At 44.6% G+C, this 19,977-nt stretch overlaps 1 protein-coding gene across 6 annotated transcripts in view, besides 1 other annotated feature; it reads right to left on the bottom strand.

The window, feature by feature from the left end:
- Positions 1 to 19,977, bottom strand: part of BLK (BLK proto-oncogene, Src family tyrosine kinase) — a 70,213-nt gene that overhangs the window by 37,440 nt on the left and 12,796 nt on the right. The gene's annotated exons all lie outside the window — the stretch shown is intronic.
- Positions 19,005 to 19,234: an enhancer, noted in NCBI's record as "active region_27022". NCBI's record gives its function as "activates an Ori minimal core promoter by ATAC-STARR-seq in GM12878 lymphoblastoid cells {active_cell/tissue: GM12878}" and the evidence as "EXISTENCE:reporter gene assay evidence [ECO:0000049][PMID:35858748]".

Here is a 19,977-nt window from a genome sequence, read left to right as displayed (position 1 = left end):
GAAAAAGCTTATTGCTGTCTAGACGTCCACATTAAGCCTTAAGGACAGTGAAAGACCCCTTGCGAGCATGCACGTACAGGAAAGAATAAGCGACACTAGGACGTCCTCTAACGAAACTGCAAATAAGAATGACATGAGTTATAAGAAATAAGGATAGCCGAGTGTGACCCCCAAGCACATAAAAGAAAACGAAAGAGGCTTCATAAAACCTTGATATTTGGGAAATTCTCCCTCAAATGGCAAATTTTAATGACATAGTATCAGATGGCCTTCTCTATGTATTCAATTATCCCACTTAATTCTACAGAACAAAATTTACATAGTTATATTATTGTAGTGCCTGATTTTCAACTGAAAAAGTTTTGAGTACTAACCTACTGATGAAACACAGTAAAATTATATAAGCACTGAACACAACAGAATATAATTTTTTGTTTTTTTGAGACAGAGTCTTGCTCTGTCCCCCAGGCTGGAGTGCACTGGCACAGTCTCAGCTCACTGCAACCTCCACCTCCCAGGTTCACGTGATCCTCCTGCCTTAGCCTCCCAAGTAGCTGGGACGACAGGCATGTGCCACAACGCCCAGCTAATTTTTGTATTTGTATTAGAGATGGGGTTTCATCATTTTGCCCAGGCTGGTCTCAAACTCCTGACCTCAGGTGACCCACCCGCCTTGGCCTCCCAAAGTGCTGGGATTACAAGTATGAGCCACCAAGTCCAGCCAGAATATATATATGATAAGCCTTAATATGTAAAAATAACAGTATAACAAAAAAGTAGGATGTGAATTTGAAAGCAGTGTTTGTGAGCAGGTGTTAACTTCAGATACTGCCTAAAGCTAATGAATTGAGACGTAAACATTTAAATATATTATTTAAAGTCATAAAGCCAATCACTAGGATACAAAACAGCTGATAAAAATCTAGGAAATGGAGAGGGGAGTGTGCAGGTGAAAGCCAGGTAAGAAAAGAGACAGCATGATGAAGTGCATTCTGCATCTGTCAGTGTATTTAGCTCAGAGATATTGGCATTAGTATTTCTTGAAGTTGTAACTGTAATGAAAAGAATGTTTAAAAACAAAAGCTGCAGCTGGGTGCGGTGGCTCACACCTGTAATCCCAGCACTTTGGGAGGCCGAGGCGGGCAGATCACCTGAGGATAGGAGTTCGAGACCAGCCTGGGCAACATGGTGAAACCCTGTCTCTAATGAAAACACGGTGAAACCCTGTCTCTGCTAAAAATACAAAAATCAGCCGGACATGGTGGTGGGTGCCTGTAATTCCAGCTACTCAGGAGGCTAAGGCAGGAGAATCGCTTGAACCAGGGAGGCAGAGATTACAGTGAGCCGAGATCATGCCACTGCACTCCAGCCTGGGCGGCAGAATGAGACTCTGTCTCAGAGAAAAAACAAAAAACCCCACAAAAGCTGCTCCATTCCTTGCTTCTGAGGAGGGCACATGAGTGGTGGCAGGGAAGGCGAACTTTTGAGTTTTCAGTTTATACCTTTTCTGACTGTTTAAATTTTTGAAAACAATATTCATGGATAACTTGTATAATAATAAAATCAAGTTAAGCAAATGAATAGATAGGTAAATAAATTAGTAAAAGGATAAAAGAGATCTGAACTGGCAAAGAAAAATACCCAGGATACATTATTGTTACATGAAAAGAGTAAATTGCAGAATGTTTTGTATGATATAATCCTGCTTGTGTGAAATTTAAAAAAAGGAGTCTATTAACACATTTGCAGATGAAAAGAAAATACCTGGACATTTTTGGTAAAAATCAAACTACTAACAGTGAGACTTCTGGGGACTGAAATTCACAAAGGGATAAGAGGACTTTACATTTTGCTTTAAGTACCTCTGAAGGATTTGGGTTAAACAGAAAGTAATAAACTCATGTTGTCTAAATACCTTTTCAAAATGTGATATTAAAAACAGACAAGCAATTACTTAAAGCAAATACGTCTGTGTGCCTCTGAGCAACATTAGAAAAGGCAAGGGTCAGCACGAAAGAGGTGACAGAACCCTCTTCTTTCAGTGCTCAATCCATGCAGGGAGGGCTGAGCCTTTTAGGAATCACATTAAATATGCTTTCCCCTTCACACCATCAATTTGCTTTTGATATAGGAAATTCAGAAAATAGAGTGAAAGATAAAATTAACTCCAATGCCATCATCCAGAGACAGCCACTCTGAACATTCGTGATATGTAATTTTCCATGGCCTTTTTTTTTTTTTGTAAAAAAGCAAAATGGGATCATTATCTACATCCTGTTTTGCGACCTGCTTTTAGCAGAGCGTATCACGGTCATCTTTTTCCTGTCGTTCCCTGTTTTGTCTGCAGCAACCTGTGAGGGGCTGTCAGCATCTGATCGTGAGGTTTAATGAACCGTTGTCATTTTCCCCACTTCTTCTGCCGCACACCCCAGCTGTTTCCATTTTCTCAAGATCATAAACATGCTGCAAAAATGTCCTTTGCTCATGCCCTTTCTCTTTCCTCATATCTTCCCTTAATTTTTGTTGAGGTTAAAAATCCCACAAGTGGGATTCCCACGCTCAAGAGCATACATAACCTTTCTAAGTCTTCCGATATATTTTGGCAAATTGTCCTTCAGACATTTCGTACAGCAGTATGGAAGTATGTAGTTCCCTGTACTTTCTTAAACAAGGGTTATTATTCTTTTCATCCTTTCTGAGCTGGCTTACAAAAAAGTGGTCTTTTACTTTTCAATCTCATTTTTTATTAAGCAAGTACTGCACATGTAGAAAATTAGAAAATTCTCATCTACGCAAAGGAAAAAAAATCAGTTACAACCCTACCACCAATGGAAAATCGTTGTGAATGTTCAGTGTATGCATTTTCAAAGGTGTTACATATACATATAGTCTTGAAAAATGGGCCAAACTGTTTATATTGTGTCATAACTTGGTTATTTCTGTGAACAGTACAGTATAAATTATATATAAATAAATGTAATTTTGAACCATATGAATAACTGCATGCTATTGTACAAATTTACCATTAATTTATTTAATCACTAATGGTCAAATAAGTTATTTTCAACTTTTGGCTGTTATAAATAAACCCACAGTAAACATTGTTGTAAGGTAAATATTCAATTGTCCAATATTTTTAAGCTATGTTTCCATAACCGGAATTATGGTGTTTAAGAATATGCACATTTTTAAAGATCTTGATCTATGAAGCTAAATTAATGTTTATAAAGGTAAGACTGGTTTACATTCTCACCGTGATGAAGGAAGCCATTTCTCCAGTCCCTGGACAATGGTTTATAACAAATTAAAAAAAAAAAAAACAACTCTGTCAATCTGCTCAGTGAAAAGTGATGAACAACATAGTATTAATTTACTTTTCTATTGATTTTATCATGTACTTATTAGCCACTTGTGTTTCTCTTATTATGATTTGATCATCCACGTCTTCTACCACTTTTTACATTAAGGTATTTATCATTTTGTCAATGATATGGAAGACCTCTTTATGTGATAAATATGTGTAATTTTTACATTAATGTCATAAATGTAAATATTTTTCTTAATTTAGGTTATGCTTTTTAACTTACTAATTTTTTTTGTTTGTTTTGAGATGGAGTCTTGCTCTGCCATCCAGGCTGGTGTATAGTGGCGCCATCGCAGCTCACTGCAATCTCCTTCTCCGGGGTTCAAGTGATTCTCCTGCCTCAGCCTCCCTAGTAACTGGGACTACAGGCGCCCACCACCATGCTCGCTAATTTTTGTCTTTTTAGTAGAGACGGGGTATCTCCATGTTCGCCATGCTGTACTCAAACACCTGACTTCAAGTGATCCTCCTGCCTTGGTCTCTCAAAGTGCTGGGATTACAGGTGTGAGCCACCATGCCCAACTGAACTTTGTGTTTGTATTATGTATTACAGCATGGTATGTATTATGCAGTAAAAGCTATCATTTCTACCTAGTCAATTTATTAATCTTTCCTATTAATCTTTCCTGTGTCGTTCACACTTGCAAATGTCTTCCTCACTCCTAGATGATAGAAATATACAACTATTTAAGAAATTTTTTCACCACTAGCTATGAATATTTTAAATGTATAAAAAAACAGAAAATAATGTGACACTGCTAAGATCAAACAGATATTCATATTTTGGTACACTTTCTTCCTTCTCTTTTTTTCCTCTCTCTTTTTATGTTCCAGATATGAAGATACAACTAAAGATTGGTCATTATTTTCTCCTCTCTTTCTCTCCAAAATTAATAATGATCATGGAGTTAGTAGGTGTTAACCATGTATGATTTTGGACATTTACGACATGTATAAGCAATTATAAACAATATATATTGCTACTCTGTATGTTTTAGACTTTTAAAAATGGCTTCATAATGTATGTAACCTTTTTGCAACTTGCTTTTTTTTTCAGAAATATGTGTTTTTGAGATTTGTTTGTTGTAATACACAGATTCCCAGTGCTTTTTTTTTTTTTACTGTATCCTTTTCTATTAAGTGAATAAACTTCCTTTTATTCATTCATTTTCTAAGGGACACTGTTTCAAAATGATGAAATGCATTGGGATGGGCAACCTCATACATTCCCTGTTTTGCACATATGTGAGAGTTTCTCTGAACAACACAGGGAATTTAGATATTTAATTTACCTATGGACTTACAGGGCAGTGGGCTATGTTCCCTCAGTGGCACTATGGGTTCCCAAAACACTCCCCAAAGCGATCGAACCCATTTATCATCCCACCAGCAATACCTGAGAGTTTTCATTTTCCCCATATTCTCACCAAAACTCGTATTGTCAAACATTAGTTTTACTAGTGGAATAGGTAATAAATTAAATCTTTTTGTTTTAATTTGTTTCCCTTGATTATATTTGAGATGCTCATGGGTTATATGGATTCTTTGCCTCTGTATACGGCCTATTCATATATTTTGACCATTTAGAAAAATGTAGTTTTTTTTTATAGCTCATTTCCAATGCCAACTAAACACATAATTTACCTAGAAATGGACCTAATAAAATATGTGCAAACTTGTATGGAGACGTAAACTTTACTGAACGATGTTAAAGAAGGGCTTAAACAGAAGGAAAGATGGATTTACCATGATTAGGAGGACTCATCATTAAGAGGCATATTCTCTCCAAATTACTTAAAAATCAAATGTGTTTCCAATCTATATTCCAAAGGGTGTTTTTGAGGAACTTTACAAGCTGGTTTTCAAAATTTTATGCATAAGAAAAGGCTCAAAAATAGAAAAGATATCTATGAAGAGAAAAAAAACCAAGATAGAGAGGAGTCCCCTCCTAGATGTCCACACTTACTAAAAGCTGCAGTAATGAAGATGGAACGGACCAGGGAGTGTAAAAATAGAACAGGAAGTGAACGGAGAGTCTCAGACGGACCCTCATGCACATGCCGGGGAGGCACTGTGCGTCTCCAGGGCGGTATGAGCTACTCGATAAATGAGGCTGAGAAAACTTTTTTCTTCACATAAAACTGTGGCCTTACTGCTCAACCATTCTTGACTATTGAATCCAAATTGATTAAAGACATAAATATGGTCCAGGTACAGTGGCTCACACCTGCAATCCCAGCACTTTGGGAGGCTAAGGTGGGCGTACCACTTAAGCCCAGGAATTCGAGACCAGCCTGAGCAACAGAGTGGGACCTCACCTCTACAAAAATTAGAAGAATTAGCTGGATATGGTGATGTACGCCTGTAGTCCCAGCTACTCGGGAGGCTTAGATGGGAGGATTGCTTGAGCCTGGGAAGTCAAGGCTGCAGTGAGCCATAATGGTGCCATTGCACTCCAGCCTTGGTGACAGAGTGAGGCTCTGTCTCAAGAAAAAATTTTATTAATTGTAAATCAAAGGTGAAAATTAAATCTTTTAGAAAAAATACAGGATATCTTTAGGGTATAGATAATTATTTAATGACTTGACAAATCAAATATTAGATAATAAATTTTTTAAAAGCCATTTTTCTTACTGATTTGAATTGCCTTCCTTATCACTTACTCAATTCCCACATAATCATGGGCCTATTTCTGGACTCTGTCTTTTCCTGCATAGAACCACATAAATTAATTACTCCAGTTTAATGATACAGTTTCAGTTCTTTTTTAAAAGATTTTCTTCATTATTCTTTCTCATTCATTTTTCTGATTTAACTTAAGGCTATAATTTTGACAAGCTATGAATTCCTGCATTCATTTTTATTGGCATTAAATTTAAATTTATATACAATTTTTGGAGAATTGGCATTGCTAATGTTATTGTTGAAAAAAAGAAAGCTATTGATTTTTGTCTATTTCAGTTCTCTTATTAGCTCTAATAGCTTTTCAATTACTTGTCTTAGATTTCCCTGAAAGACAAACAGATCATCTGTTATGCCTTTTTTCGAAATGTGTAGATGTTGTATTACCTTTTCTTGTTGTATTACACTGGCAAGAATTCCCAAAACAAAGTTAAATTATCTCAATGTTAGCAGGCGTCTCTCACTTCTGAATCTGGCTATAGGCTTGCAGAAGATATCTAGGAAGTTTCCTTTTTCTTTAGGTTACAACAAGCTTTTACAGGGATGCCTTTGATTATGTTTCCTTTTTTCTTTTTTCTTTTCCTTTTCTTTTCTTTCTTTTTCTTTCTTCCTTTTTTTTTTTTTTTTTTTTTTTTTTGAGACAAGGTCTTGCTCCATTGCCCAGGCTGGAAGTGTGTGGCATGATCACGGCTCACTGCAGCCTCAATCTTCTGGGCACAAGTGATCCTCCCACCTCAACCTCCCAAGTAGCTGGGACTACAGGCATGCACCACCACACCTGGCTAGTTCTTGTAAATTTTATAGAGGGAGGTTTTCACCATGTTGACCACACTGGTCTCGAAGTCCTGGGCTCAAGCGATCCTCCTACCTTAGCCTCCCAAAGTGCTGGGATTACACTTGTGAGCCACCGTGCCTGGCTATGTGGTTCTTAATGCTAAGTTGTCTTTTCACAGTGGAATGAGCCCTCCTTAATCATATTAAACATCATGTTTGATTGAAATAGCTTGTTTTATAGAAGTATTTTTGACTCTATATTAATTAGCCAAAGTTATCTGTGGTTTGTGTGTGACTACTAATCTTTTGATAAAATTCAAAACTTTACATGAAAATGATGTGTGCTCTTTACAGAAAAATATTTAAATACAGGAAATTATAAAGAAAACGTTTCCCAGAACCCCAATACCCAGAGGCAATCTCTGTGAATATTTTGGTGTATTTCTTCTTAGTCTTTCTGATAGTGGGGGCGGCAAGGGATATGCACATTTTCAAGTTGTTTATGAAACTCAAATCAGCATACAGTAGAGTTTAAATGGAGTGCTTGGAGTGAGAGGCTCTGGATTCAAATCCTCACATTACAGTTTACAAACTACGCCATATTTGTCAGCTTCCTTGATCTGTTCATGTCTCATTTTCTCAGTCAATACAATTGAGATAATAACTACCTCACACGGTTGTTCAGAGAATTAGAAAATGTAAATAAAGTTCTCGATGTGGTGACTGGCACAAGTCCTCTAAATAAGCATGAACTGTTACGATGCTGTACATAAACTTTTGTATGTTTCATATTACTTAATACTGTACCATAAACCTTTTTAATGTCATTCAAGCTAATAGTAAATACCACTTTTGACATTTCCCTACTACATGTGGATGTATGTATATAGCTTCATCTAATATTTGTGTATGAATTATTGCCTACATTTTAGAATTTTTCCCTCAGTTTAGGCTCTCAGAAGAAAAATTGCTTTGGTTCAATACCGTGGAACTGTTTCGGAGCTTCTGGTCTAGACAGCCAAATTGCTGTCCAGAAACGCTGTGACAGTGTTGGCTCCTAGCAGCCCCACATGAAGGTAGCGAGGTCCTCTAGCACCCAGGGGAGTCCCAGAGAGGGTCTGATTCCTTCCTTTGAGGAATCCATTATCCCCTGAACAAGAACTTTTGAGACAGATCTTGCAACATGCTGGAGGCCACAGCTGGCAGCTCCTGCTCCGTGGAGCCCATATTCTAGTTGATGCAGGGAGGAGAGCAGAGGGGAAGGCAGATGGCAGACTAGCAAAGTAAACGGCCACTGATTTCTAGGAGAGGTAAGTGCCACAAAGAAATTCAAACAGGATGACGGGACAGAATCATCGCACAGGCCCAGGGGTATTTAGATAAGAGAAAGACCTCTCCCAGAAAGTGCGACGTATGCTGGAGTCTTCAGTGGCAAGGAGAGGCTTTGCAAAGCACAGAGGGCAGAGCAGAGAGACGGCTCTAAAAGTGCACAGGCTTGGCAGATTCCCAGAGCAGAAAGAGGCTCCCTGCACTTGGAGCAGAGCAGCCAGGGATGGTGAGAGGAGGGCAGGGCCCAGAGACCAGCTGGGGAAGGGTTGGGATTTCTTTCCAAATGCCGTGTTGGACCATTGTATGGTTTTAAGGAGGAGCTGACTTACCTTTAAAGGGATCACTGCAGCTGTTGTGTGGAGGAGATTGTGGGGTGCGGGTGAAGCAGGACACTAGATGGGAGGCCACCGCAGGAGATCGGTGAGAGGTGGCCATGGCAGAGCTAGGGCATTGTTAGTGGAAATAGAGAAGTGGATGGAAATGCTGAGATGCCAGCAACAGCGTGACAGTGACCTTCAGAGGTGCAAGGGAGAGAGACACCCCTCAATCCTCCCAAAGATTAAAATCTTCTGCCCCCCACCAATCCACCTACAGTGGGGTGTCTGTGTTCAGAATCAGAACCCAGTATCTAGCGGGCATCTACAGGGAAGTTTTCTAAAAAAGTGAATGCATTGCAAAAACTCACACGAAAGTGCGTATTCACTCTGGGAAGCCTAAGCTCTAACAGGATGCACCGTCTAAAAAGCAATCCATCTGGTGCTTCGTCTCAGCTGGGGTCTGATTCTGAGAGTCCATGCTTTGTGGGGAAAGACCGCCAAGCCAAGGCCACTCTGTGCAGGCTGCTGGCACACCTGGGGCCCAGGAGAACTGGGCTCTCTACCTGACTCACTTATTCACCCACTGCGTACCCTGCACACTCTCTCGCCCCTCCCAGCCTCGGTTCCCTCTTCTGCAGAGTGAGCTCTGAGTGCTGGCATCTGGGGCAGGCCCTGACAGTGAGGTCAAAGCAAAGCCAGCTCACATCTTGCTCTGATGATGCCTCTAGAAGCCCCCTTCCCTCCCTCAGTGGGCACAGGGCTGGGGTGCCCTCAATGCTATGGGAAAATGCATTTCTCTGGCTTTCCAAGAAGTCAATTTCAGCTCTGAAAGGTGACCCTTGACTCAGGTTCAAGCTGTCGGGGCATAGACTTTCTCCCTGTGACAGGACCAAGAGCTTGGCCTGCAGCACCAGGGCTGCACCATGGGTGCTGCCTCAGGTGCGTTCAGCAGCCTGTAAGCCTCTGGCTTGGCTGGGAACGCAAGAGGGTCTTCGGGAGCTGAAGCCGTCCCCTGCCTTGTCAAGGTCTGGGTGGCTGTCTCCTGGCCCCCAACATGCTGTTTCCTCCCACACACCTGAGAAAAGCTCTCAAACATCACGGGGAAAGCAGATGAGGCCGGGGAGGAAGGCTTGAGCTGCTACAGCAAGGGCTCTGGGAACCTGAAAACATCTGGAACATCCAGGCGTGCTTGGCAGCTGGGAGGCTCAAGCCAAAAAGGGGCCAGGGAAAGTGGCTGGTAGAAGTCAGAGGACCAGCTGACAATGTCACCAAGTGCTGTGGCCACTTGGACTTCTAGTAAATGTCTCAGACTTAAAATGGCCAGAGGTGAGTTCCTGGTCAATTTCCATCGCTGTGAATGGCAGCTCCATCTTCTCTTCCTCATGCTCTTTCTCTCGTATTCTGCACATACAAATCCACATGCAACCCCGATTTCTGTTGGCTCTCCCGTCCACAGGCAGCCAGGAATGGACATCTCTCTGCCTTGGCCGAGAGCCGGGTCTAAGCCACCTTCATTCTTTCCAGGATACACACAGCAACTCCTCCCTGCTCTCCTCTTCCCTGTCCTCCCACCTGCCTATTCCCAAAGGCAGCCCACTGTGACCCTATAAAAATGTTAGGTCCCATCACATCGCTTCCCTACTCAGAACTCCCCAGTGTCACCCTCTCATTCAGAGTAAAATTCAAAGTCCTGTATGGAGTCTCCTCGACAAATTAAACATAGAATTACCATATGATCCAGCAATGCCAGTTCTGGGTGTGTATCCAGAATGACAGAAAGCAGGGACTTGAGCAGGTATTTGTACACTTGTGTCCACAGCAGTGTTGCTCAGTGGCTAAAATGTGGCAGCAGCCAGTGTCCATGGACAGATGGATGGATAAGCCCAGTGTGGGCTATATGTACAATGGAATCCAGTCTTACAAAGGAAGGAAATTCTGGCACATGCTACAACATGGGTGAGCCTTGAAGGCATTGTGCTAAGTGAAATTGGCCAGACACAAAAGGACAAACACTGTATGATTCCACCTAAATGAAGTCCCTAAAGTAGCCCAATTCATCGACACAGATGGTAGAGTAACAGGTGTCAGGGGCTGGGGGCTGGGTCGGGGAGTTAGTTTAACAGGGCTGCTATAACAGATATCGTTCATGGAAAAATGGGAGAAGATAGAAAATGCATAAGACCTACTAGATTGTCTTTCTCTCAATAGATTATTAATAAATGTTCCTTGAGTAGGTCAGAAAGATCCTCTGGGAGAGACAGCAATAGGGCGGTGAACTTTCTTTGCACCGCAAGGGGGAAGGGCGGTCGTGAGACCCACCCACCAAGTGCAGGACTCGGGGTCTGTGAAGTCTCCACTGTGCGGTGTGGTCTAAGAGCATCCACGACAGTGTCTGTCGGGCTTTCTGTTCTTTGTTACTGTGGCTGTCAGTGAGAAAGACGTCAGGCTCTCGCACCCCCGTTCTACTTTCTGTTCTCTGAATGGGACTACTCCAGGGACTCATTTAAATGGAATTGCAGTGTTTCTCCTTTGTGTCTGACTCTCTCCTCTTAGCGTCATGTCTTCGTGGTTCATCCATGTAGCAGTATGTGAAGGAATTTCCTTCCTTTCAAAGGCTGAGTGGTATTCCATGGAATGTACAGGCCACGATCTGCTTATCAGTTCATCTGGGCATGAACTTTTGTTCCATCTACAGTGCCTGACATCCCAGGCACGCGAGTGCACACCCATCCCCACACCAGGATACAAAAGCCTCCCAAAGCCTTTCCTACAGGCAATGCCCCTGGGTATTCTCTATTCTATATGATTTTGTTTTTAAAATGCCAGCAGGAGCCCACTTGATTTCATGAACAACTAAAGCAATTCCCTGTTTGATTTCCTGTTTGAAGCCACTGTTCTGAAGAACACAGACTGCAGGAAGCTGTTCTGGGCCATCCCCGCATGCAGCGCAGCACATATGACATGAGGCACTACAGTGGCGGGGAAAATTGCATTTTAAGCACTGATACAATATTAGAAAAGACAAAACTTTGAAAATTAAGGAGGTAAGTGACTGGCCTCTAAAGACAGAAAAATAATGCAGTTAAAGAAAATGGAAGGAAGGGGGAAATAGAGGCAGGCATCCAGATGAGGGCTGCAGCAAAGGAAGAAGCCAAAGACAGTAAAAGAATGCCCCAGAGAGACGCAAGCAATTAAAGGGGAGCAGGGAGGACCCCTGTGCGCCGGCTGCTTACTTCGTCCCAGACACTCCCCCAGGCCCTGAGGACTCAGGTGGAGCCACTGACATGGCTGACCCCTGGCACTACCTCTCAGCTCCTGGTCATCCTCAAAGCATCCCAGGAGGCCGGCTTCCAGACCTCCACTCTACAGGTAAAGAAATGAAGACTGACGGAGGTCAAGCTTGCTCGAGGTCCCTCAGCCGGGAGTGGCACAGGGAGGATGTAAGCCCAGACCGCCTGTACTTCCAGGACCCATCTTCCTTCTCTGCTGTGGCCACCTCCACCCAGCCCAGGGGACAGCACACCCCACTCGAGAGCTTCCATCTCCTGGCACCAACCAGCAAAACAGGGCAAAACCCTGAAAGTTCTTGGTGCATTGCAACTGGGCGTTTGCAGTGACTGCTGGCCTGTGTGGAGAGACTAGGGGAAGAATCTCAGAGCAGCAGCTTGTCGGGGAATGTGGAGGGGAGGACTCCAGAAGAGGTGAAAGTCATGTGCGTGCCTCAACCCTGGAGTGGGAGCTCCCCAGGAAGGGGAGGGGGCTGAGGTCAGTGACTCCTAGATTTGAGCAGGTATTGCTGACTGGTGGGTTGGATCAGAAATGATCTGGGACTGTAATAGCTTCTTGGGCTCCTGCATATGATACAGAAAGTATGAAACAGGGCCAGGAATCTGTATTTTTTACCTCTCACCCCCATTCTGATGCTCAGCCAGGGCTGGAATGGAGCCCTCCTAAGCCTGTAGTTGCCCTGCTGCATAGGTATATCCACCAGCAACTTGCCAGGATGGGTCCAGAAAGCAGGCTCACGGGCTACTCGAGCCCAGAGGTGGGGGCAGTGCAATCACAGGGGCTGGGTGGATGGAGAAGGCCCACAGTGGCAGCTTCGGCTGGGAGCAGCATCTCTGCACTGTGTCACTTGTACCCCAGCCTCTCTCCCAGCTGTTCCCCTCACTGCTCAGAGCTCAGCGTGCAAGAAGGGTCCTCCACTGTGCTCTTACAAGGCTTCTGAGACCTGGGATGGCCTGCTGGGCCTCAGATCCCTCGGGGAGGCCATTGCGGGGCTCTTGCCTGTAGCCCGCAAACACCCTTGTTTAGCGTCCTTCTGCCTTTAGGATGGGACTAAGACAGCATTGCCTCTCTCTCGCAAAGGACAAGTGGGTTTTCTCACATTTGCTGGAACAGTGGACAGGAGTACCCTGTGGACAGATCAAGGCTCTATTTGCTGAGTCCTGTCTTTCAGCTGAATTGGAGCAACCGTTAGACTCAGTGACAGGTAGCACATGGTCAAGGTGACCAGGGACAGAGACCTTGCCCAGACCCTGTTCACTTGAAATAACAAGGATTTTCCTCCACTCATTTCCTGGGATACCAAAACAGAATGGTTCCTTGTGCCAGAAGGGAAGGTCCGATCCCCTTGGCAGATCCTGTGTCATTACGAGTTTTATTGGGTTCAATGTCATAAAACACCACAGCCATGGAGACCTATAAAATGCCCCAAACATTTCCCTTGCAAAAGTCAGACCAAGGAGTTGAATTATTTCCAAGGTGCAGGCTTCTCCGAGTGATGGGAGACTCTGAATCCACCTGGGTCGGGCCCAGCTGCTCCATTACCCCAAGCCCCCTTCACACAGGGTTCTCATGCAGTGCGCGGCGGTGGTGTGGACTGCCCGCCAACCACACTTAAATCACATGGAATTCAATAAACGTCCACAACCTGTTCTGAGCACCACTCTATAACTCTGGCTAACTATTTAGAAGGCACTTTGGGAATGCAATGCCTCAAAGGCCTCCCTGGATCACTTGGTATGAATTTTGCAGCCCAAGGTGCAATCTTGTACGAGTCACTTCATCTCATTGCTTCTGTCTCTGTGCAGCGAGGGCTGTGGGTGGATGATCTCTGAGTTGCCTCCAGCCCTAACATTCAGGGGCTATGATTGCATCGCAGATTTAGGGGATGCTGAGGGACAGACAGCCTGGGCTCTGCTCACAGCTGCAGAGAAAAAGTGTGCAGCCTGGAGATGGTCCAGCCCTGGCACTCTCATGCCCTAAAGGAGCCTGGGGGTAACACAGGGCTCCATCAGGAATGATGCTCTGGTTTCTCTTCGTCTCTCCACTCCCTCTCAGTCTCCACTATGGTCCACGAATCACCAAGGTCTTCATTGCTGCCAGCATCAGCCTTGTACCCCTGCTTTTCCATCTCCCCCTTCCTACCATCCACTCCCACTTCAAGACACAGAGGTCCTAGTTCATCAGCCAACTGCGTGTGGTGCATTGAGGACAAGCCCTGGGACCCAGCATGCTCTGTAAGGCTCAAGGCCAGAGACCAATCTAGGCCGTGGGCATGGACAGTAGGGATCTCGTAGGAGGATAAAACAAGAAAAGTAAATATTTTATCAAGGACAAAAAAGAACTTCAAGAGACTCTTGCTTCAGACTTCCATGAATAAATAATTCTTTTAGAAAGGCAATCATGTTATGTGGCCCGTAAGACCTTAAAATTGAATAATCTGACCAGCCGCGGTGGCTCACGCCTGTAATCCCAGCAGTCTGGGAGGCCGAAGCGGGCAGATCACTTGAGGTCAGGAGTTTGAGTCCAGCCTGGCCAACACAGTGAAACCCCATCTCTACTAAAAATACAATAATTAGCTGGGCATGGTGGTGGGTGGCGCCTGTAGTCCCAGCTACTCAAGAGGCTGAGACAGCAGAATCACTTGAACCCAGGAGGGGGAGGTTGCGGTGAGCCGAGATTGTGCCACTGCACTCCAGCCTGGGTGACAGAGCAAGACTCTGTCTCAAACAAACAAACAAACAAACAAACAAAACCAGAAGCCTGTGTAATTTGCAGTAAAATTTTAAAATCTCTCTGAGCCTCAATGGCTTTATCTATAAAGTAGAGGGTGGAAATATGTTTTCTGCCTGCCTTAAAGGATCAAATTGATAATACTAAAATAATTTGTAAAACATGAAGTCCCATGTAAAAATCTCTGTTGAGACCCAATTGAACCTAAATGATTAGAACTGTTGGGCTTTCAGACTATCCACATCTGTGTCAGATGGCTGACATGTCGTCAGAGTGATTTCAGGGTGGGGTTTAGGATGAGGAATTTTACGTGCTTATAATGATATTGGCTAGACCTTGTTAAGAGATCATAACAAGTTCTGGAAAAGAGCTAAACAAACAACACAGTTTTCTGTGGTGTCCTCCACAGGTCTGCTTGAAGAACTAGTCTTCGTTCACGAGGTCATCCACACATCACCAACTCTGTACCCATTAAGTCATCCCTTCTTCTGATCCCACAGCGCTTCTTACAGACCAGTAGCATAGAACTTGCGTGTCTGCCTTCTAAACCAGACTCCTCCTGAGCTCTTCAAGGAAAAGCCATTTTGTTTGTTTGGTTGTTTATCTTTGTATTTTCAGGCCCCATCTTACCACTTGATACATTGTAGACATGCAGTAAATCTTTCTCTTCTTTGAACGAATAAATTAAATAATCAAACAATCACAGAAAACCCAAACGTAAGAAAATGCTTACTTTTCCACCTCCCGACAGCATCCACTGCCAGAAAGAGTAAATAGTTTCATTTACCAAGACAATGGTGGAAAGATGTCATTCATACTCCCAACCAGTGTTATCCTAAATATTGATTATGGATCATTAGCCAATACTTTGGGGTCAAGAGGGCACATTGATCTCATGTTGAATGTTGCACTACATCTAAGACGCCCAAAATGAAAATATAATTTTCTCCTTTTTGTTGCATGACTGTTTGCCGTATTTCAGGAAGTCCATCCCCTTTAAAGACTGCTAGTTTTCAACAATAATAAGTGGGAAACCTAGCAGAGATTCCCAGAGGAAGAAAGGAGAAGAGAAATTGAATTACACCCCATGTTCTTTGCTCCAGGTATACACACTTGTGTTTAAGGAAATTTAAGACAGAATTTCTAAGAGAGAAAGCAAATCAAACTTTTTTAGGAAGTCAAACCCGCTGACTGGTGCCAGAGTTTGTTGTTAACAGAAACTGATTTTTTTTTTAATACTTTAAGTTTTAGGGTACATGTGCACAACATACAGGTTTGTTACATATGTATACATGTGCCATGTTGGTGTGCTGCACCCATTAACTGGTCATTTAGCATTAGGTATATCTCCTAATGCTATCCCTCCCCGCTCTCCCCACCCCACAACAGGCCCCGGTGTGTGATGTTCCCCTTCCTGTGTCCATGTGTTCTCATTGCTGTGTGAAGACAAAAGACCGAGCTGTATTCAGGAATTCAATGAGCTGAAGTCTCCCACTCCGTTGGGTGGAACTTTTGGGTTTGGTCTCTTGAATTTCAAGGTTTCTTTGGCTCCTTCAGCCTCAAATAGTAACATTTCAGTTTGGTAAACACAGCTCACCTCCTATGGTGAGTGTTTGTAGCAGGAAAGAACAATTAACTAACCACAAATATTTGTGTGTCAGTCTGACTCCCTGGTGAGAAATGCAAAGCTTACGGGGATCCATGTGTTTTAAAATGCCAAAGCATTTCCTTTAGTTAAGAACCACGGACGGCCATAATCAAGGCAGAATCTCGTACTTTAACACATTAGCAATTAGCTTTGGTTAAAAAAGTAGAAATAGAAGCAACTGCCTTAACAAAGAGGCACTTTATTTATGTATTTATTTATTTATTTATTTATTTATTTATTTATTTATTTATTTGAGATGGAGTCTCTGTCATCCTGGCTGGAGTACAGTGGCGCTATCCCGGGGATAATATATTCCCTATCCCATTACTGGACCTCTGTATGTAGGCAAAGATCTTTCGATTTCTTTCATTTCAATCTCGGATTCCCAGAAAGGGGGAAAGAGACAGAGAGAGAAAGCTGGGTTTTTTAAAAAACATTTTTGGGGCCACAGCCCCCGTTGAGAACCTGATGGAACTACAGACACTATCCCTATAAAATACACTTATCACAAACATGCCAAATTTTGTGCTCAGCTTCAGGACCTCTCCCCCGACAAAGCCCCACAATCATTCATGGACTTCTGATTAGAAACCCTGGTTTAGATGATGGGACAAATGTACCCAAAGCCTTGGGGTTTGTTTCCTTATGAGTCATTTCATTTCACAGAGAGGAAAGTCTGCTCTCTGGCCAAAGACCACACCAGTAACCCTGGCCAGCAAATATGGCCGTCAAGGAGCTGGAGAAAAGAGATGAAAAACTCAAGTCACTATCACACTGACTTTAAACGCAATTTAAAGCTTACCCCACGCCAGCCCCCAAATGAATGTTTCATCTCCCCATATCATCGTAATTCCTTGAAGGGATTAGGAAAGAACACTCTCCAGCTCCACGATGTAATTCAGAATGACTTTGCAAGCTGCATTTATTTTTTCAATCATCACCTGCTATGGTGATACAAAAATATGGAAGCAAACGAAACACCTGATTGAAATGGTGATAGAGTTCACACAGTGAAATATTATGCAGGCCCAAAAATGATCATTTTGAGTCCTCAAAAGTGATCAAAAGTAGCAGTGGGAAAGATGCTTATGTTATAATAAAAAGAAAGAAAAAGAAAAGAGAAGAATCTAAGGTGCTATGTCTTTATGATTCCAGCAATGAAAACTGCGCATCAGATAAATCAAAATGGGTAGCTCTTAGGTAAAAGTGTTAGGTTGCCAGTGTTATTGATGGTTTATATCTATTTTCAAAATTTTCTAGGGTATTATATAATGTTTACAGTTTAAAAGTCAGGAGAAAATGACACATCTGTACAAAATCAGCCTGTTCTTCCAAGTGGCTGTGGCCAGACTGCCCCTCTAAGTGGTCCAGCTCTTTCTGTGGCTTCTCTGGTGATTAGGCTGAAAAGGCAGCCGGGTCGCCACAGACCCGGCAGAGCACCCCCAGGCTTAGACAACCACAGAACCCGAGCTGGGAGACTGGAAACACTGGCAAGGGCGCAGTCACATCCCAGCGCCCACCCTGCTTCCTATCAGCCCCCGTGCAGTTCAAGTCTGCCGCACAGAGACTGGCTCATGGAAGCTGGTGAGGCATTTCCATGTCTAAATCCACGTGGGCCTCTGATTTTTGGATTCACGTCATCCATGAATTGGCTGTGAGTCAGATATCAATGACCTGTCCAGGGCAACAGCCCTGTGGATGGTGGATGGTAAAGTCCCTGGGCTGCCAAGCCCCAGGCCTGGCTGGCTTCTTGCTGGCATCAGCTGATGCTGGAAACCGAGCTGGGGTCCCGATGACATCCCTTCGGGTGCTGTGAGGTTAGCTGCTCCCACAGCAGCCACCGAGAGAGAGGATTGCCAACTTTTCGTGCGGTGTAACCTAAAGGAGGGGTAGCAGCTTCAACAGTTAGGCAGCCACTGTGACCTGGTTAAGGGTTATGGTCAGCACCTGAGTCATTGTTGTGATGCCTCCTAAGTAATAGCAGTGCCAGCTGCATGCAGCTCATGGCCTGCTTGCTCCCCACAGGCTGGGCTGCTAACGACCTCCCTTGCCTGCAGCTGGGGGGAATTGATGAGTAGGAGGCACAAAAGGCGCCCAGCATTTCCTTCCCAAAGCTCTCAGTGGATGGGCAGGCACCTCCCTCGAGCCCTGAGAAAACCCCTCCACCACGGCTCCTCTGGCCTCTGCAAATGTCAGTTGCTCCCTTGTCTGATGGCCCCAAAGGGCAGGACCGGCCCCCATCACAGTTGCGTTTGGGTCAGAAGGAGAGATGGGTGCACACAGCTGACACTACAGTGGCTGTCTTATTTCTGCCGCCCGAGGCCCAGCACAGTGTCTGGCTTTCTGCACATCCCCGTAAGTAATGATTGACTAGTGACAGTTCCAATTCCAGGAGACCCGAAGGCAGAGGGAATGCGGGAGAGGACTGACATGAAGTACCTTCTGGTATAGGGTGGTCAGAAGTGGAAAGCAAGGAAGAAGTGAAAAGCCACGGGTGGGGGCTGGAGCTACTGCGTGGACAGGAATGTGGCTCACCAAGAGGGGGCCAAGGAAGGTCCCACACATGATGGCTTCGCCATGGGGCCATGTCTTCAGGCAAACTTGTGCCAGAGCCCCCTAGCGGAGGAAAGCTGTTCTGGATCCCAGGTTTTCTGAGGCCTACAGTCACCTAGCACGCGCCCCATGTGAGCACAGCTTGAGCTCACCCGTTCTTGGCTCTTGATCTACCCCCAGTAGCTGTGCATGTGTCTGCAAGCCACGGGTGATTTCCCAGCATGTGCTTAGCCTTCGCGCCGTGACACGCTTCTCTTGCCTTACAGTAGTGGCAGAGGCGGTGGTTAATGAAGACAGATGGAGGGTTCAGAGCACTGGCTTTGGGGTCAAACAGTCCTGAGCCTGCACTTTGGCTCTAGTCCTTCCCAGCCCTGGGCCAGTGGGCAGGTTCCTGATGACATCACGGGGCTGTTGTGAGGACCACATGACTTTAGGTTTGAGAAGCACCCAAGGCCTGGTGATGACCCCCTACTTGACCAGTGTGCCTGATGTGCCACACAGAGCCACCAAAGGGTGCACTGGAAGGCCGTTGACTCTACCCCCGATTAGCAGTGCTGGGCCCTGAACCCCAGAGAGAGGAAGTCACCCAGCCAGACAGCAAGGCCAGTGCTCACGTGTAGAAATGCTGGCTCGGGGAGAAAACTAGCTTGCCATGGGGTGACTGTCTTTAGCAATCTCTTCCCTGCTCTCCTGGCCTCAGGTTCCCCCTCCAGTCCTAATCCAGGTCACCATCCTGCCTCACTGTCATCTGCACCCTAGGCCTGGCTGATCTTTGGCACCCACTGAGCTGTATGTTGACATGGACCCAGTAACCCCCAAACCCCCAAGCTGGTCCATTGGGACTTTCTGATTCGCCTCTTCTAAATTCCAAGTGCTTGGCCACTCCTTACCTGGACCTTTTATCTCCACTGGGTCCACTAAGCTCCTGTCTCTTCAAAGTTCTTTTAAAGCGTGACTTGCCTTCTTTTAAAAGCTCCCAAAAGCCCTCAGGGTGGGTGGTGTCTTCCCCTGCAGTTGGGGTGGTCATCCCTGCCTTTCTTGAGGGCCATGACAGGCCCGTCCCCTGGGAGGATCCATTAGTGACATCTACATGGTGGTCCAGGCCAGGGCCACTGCAAATCCAGGACCACTCCCAGGGGCAGGGTTTGCCAAGGTGGGAAGGTAGGACATTCTGCCTTATTCTTTTACAATCCTAGTCCATCGTCCTTCCAATTCTAACTAGTTGTCAAGCTGTCCTTCCTCCCTAGCCCGCTTCAGTTTCCTTCCCCACTTCACTCTTCCTCTGCCAAGGG

This window comes from Homo sapiens, chromosome 8 (assembly GCF_000001405.40).
Source record: "Homo sapiens chromosome 8, GRCh38.p14 Primary Assembly".
NCBI classification, from domain to species: domain Eukaryota; kingdom Metazoa; phylum Chordata; class Mammalia; order Primates; family Hominidae; genus Homo; species Homo sapiens.
The sequence above is the reverse complement of the archived record's forward strand: the minus strand, read 5'-3'. Positions and strand labels throughout refer to the sequence as shown.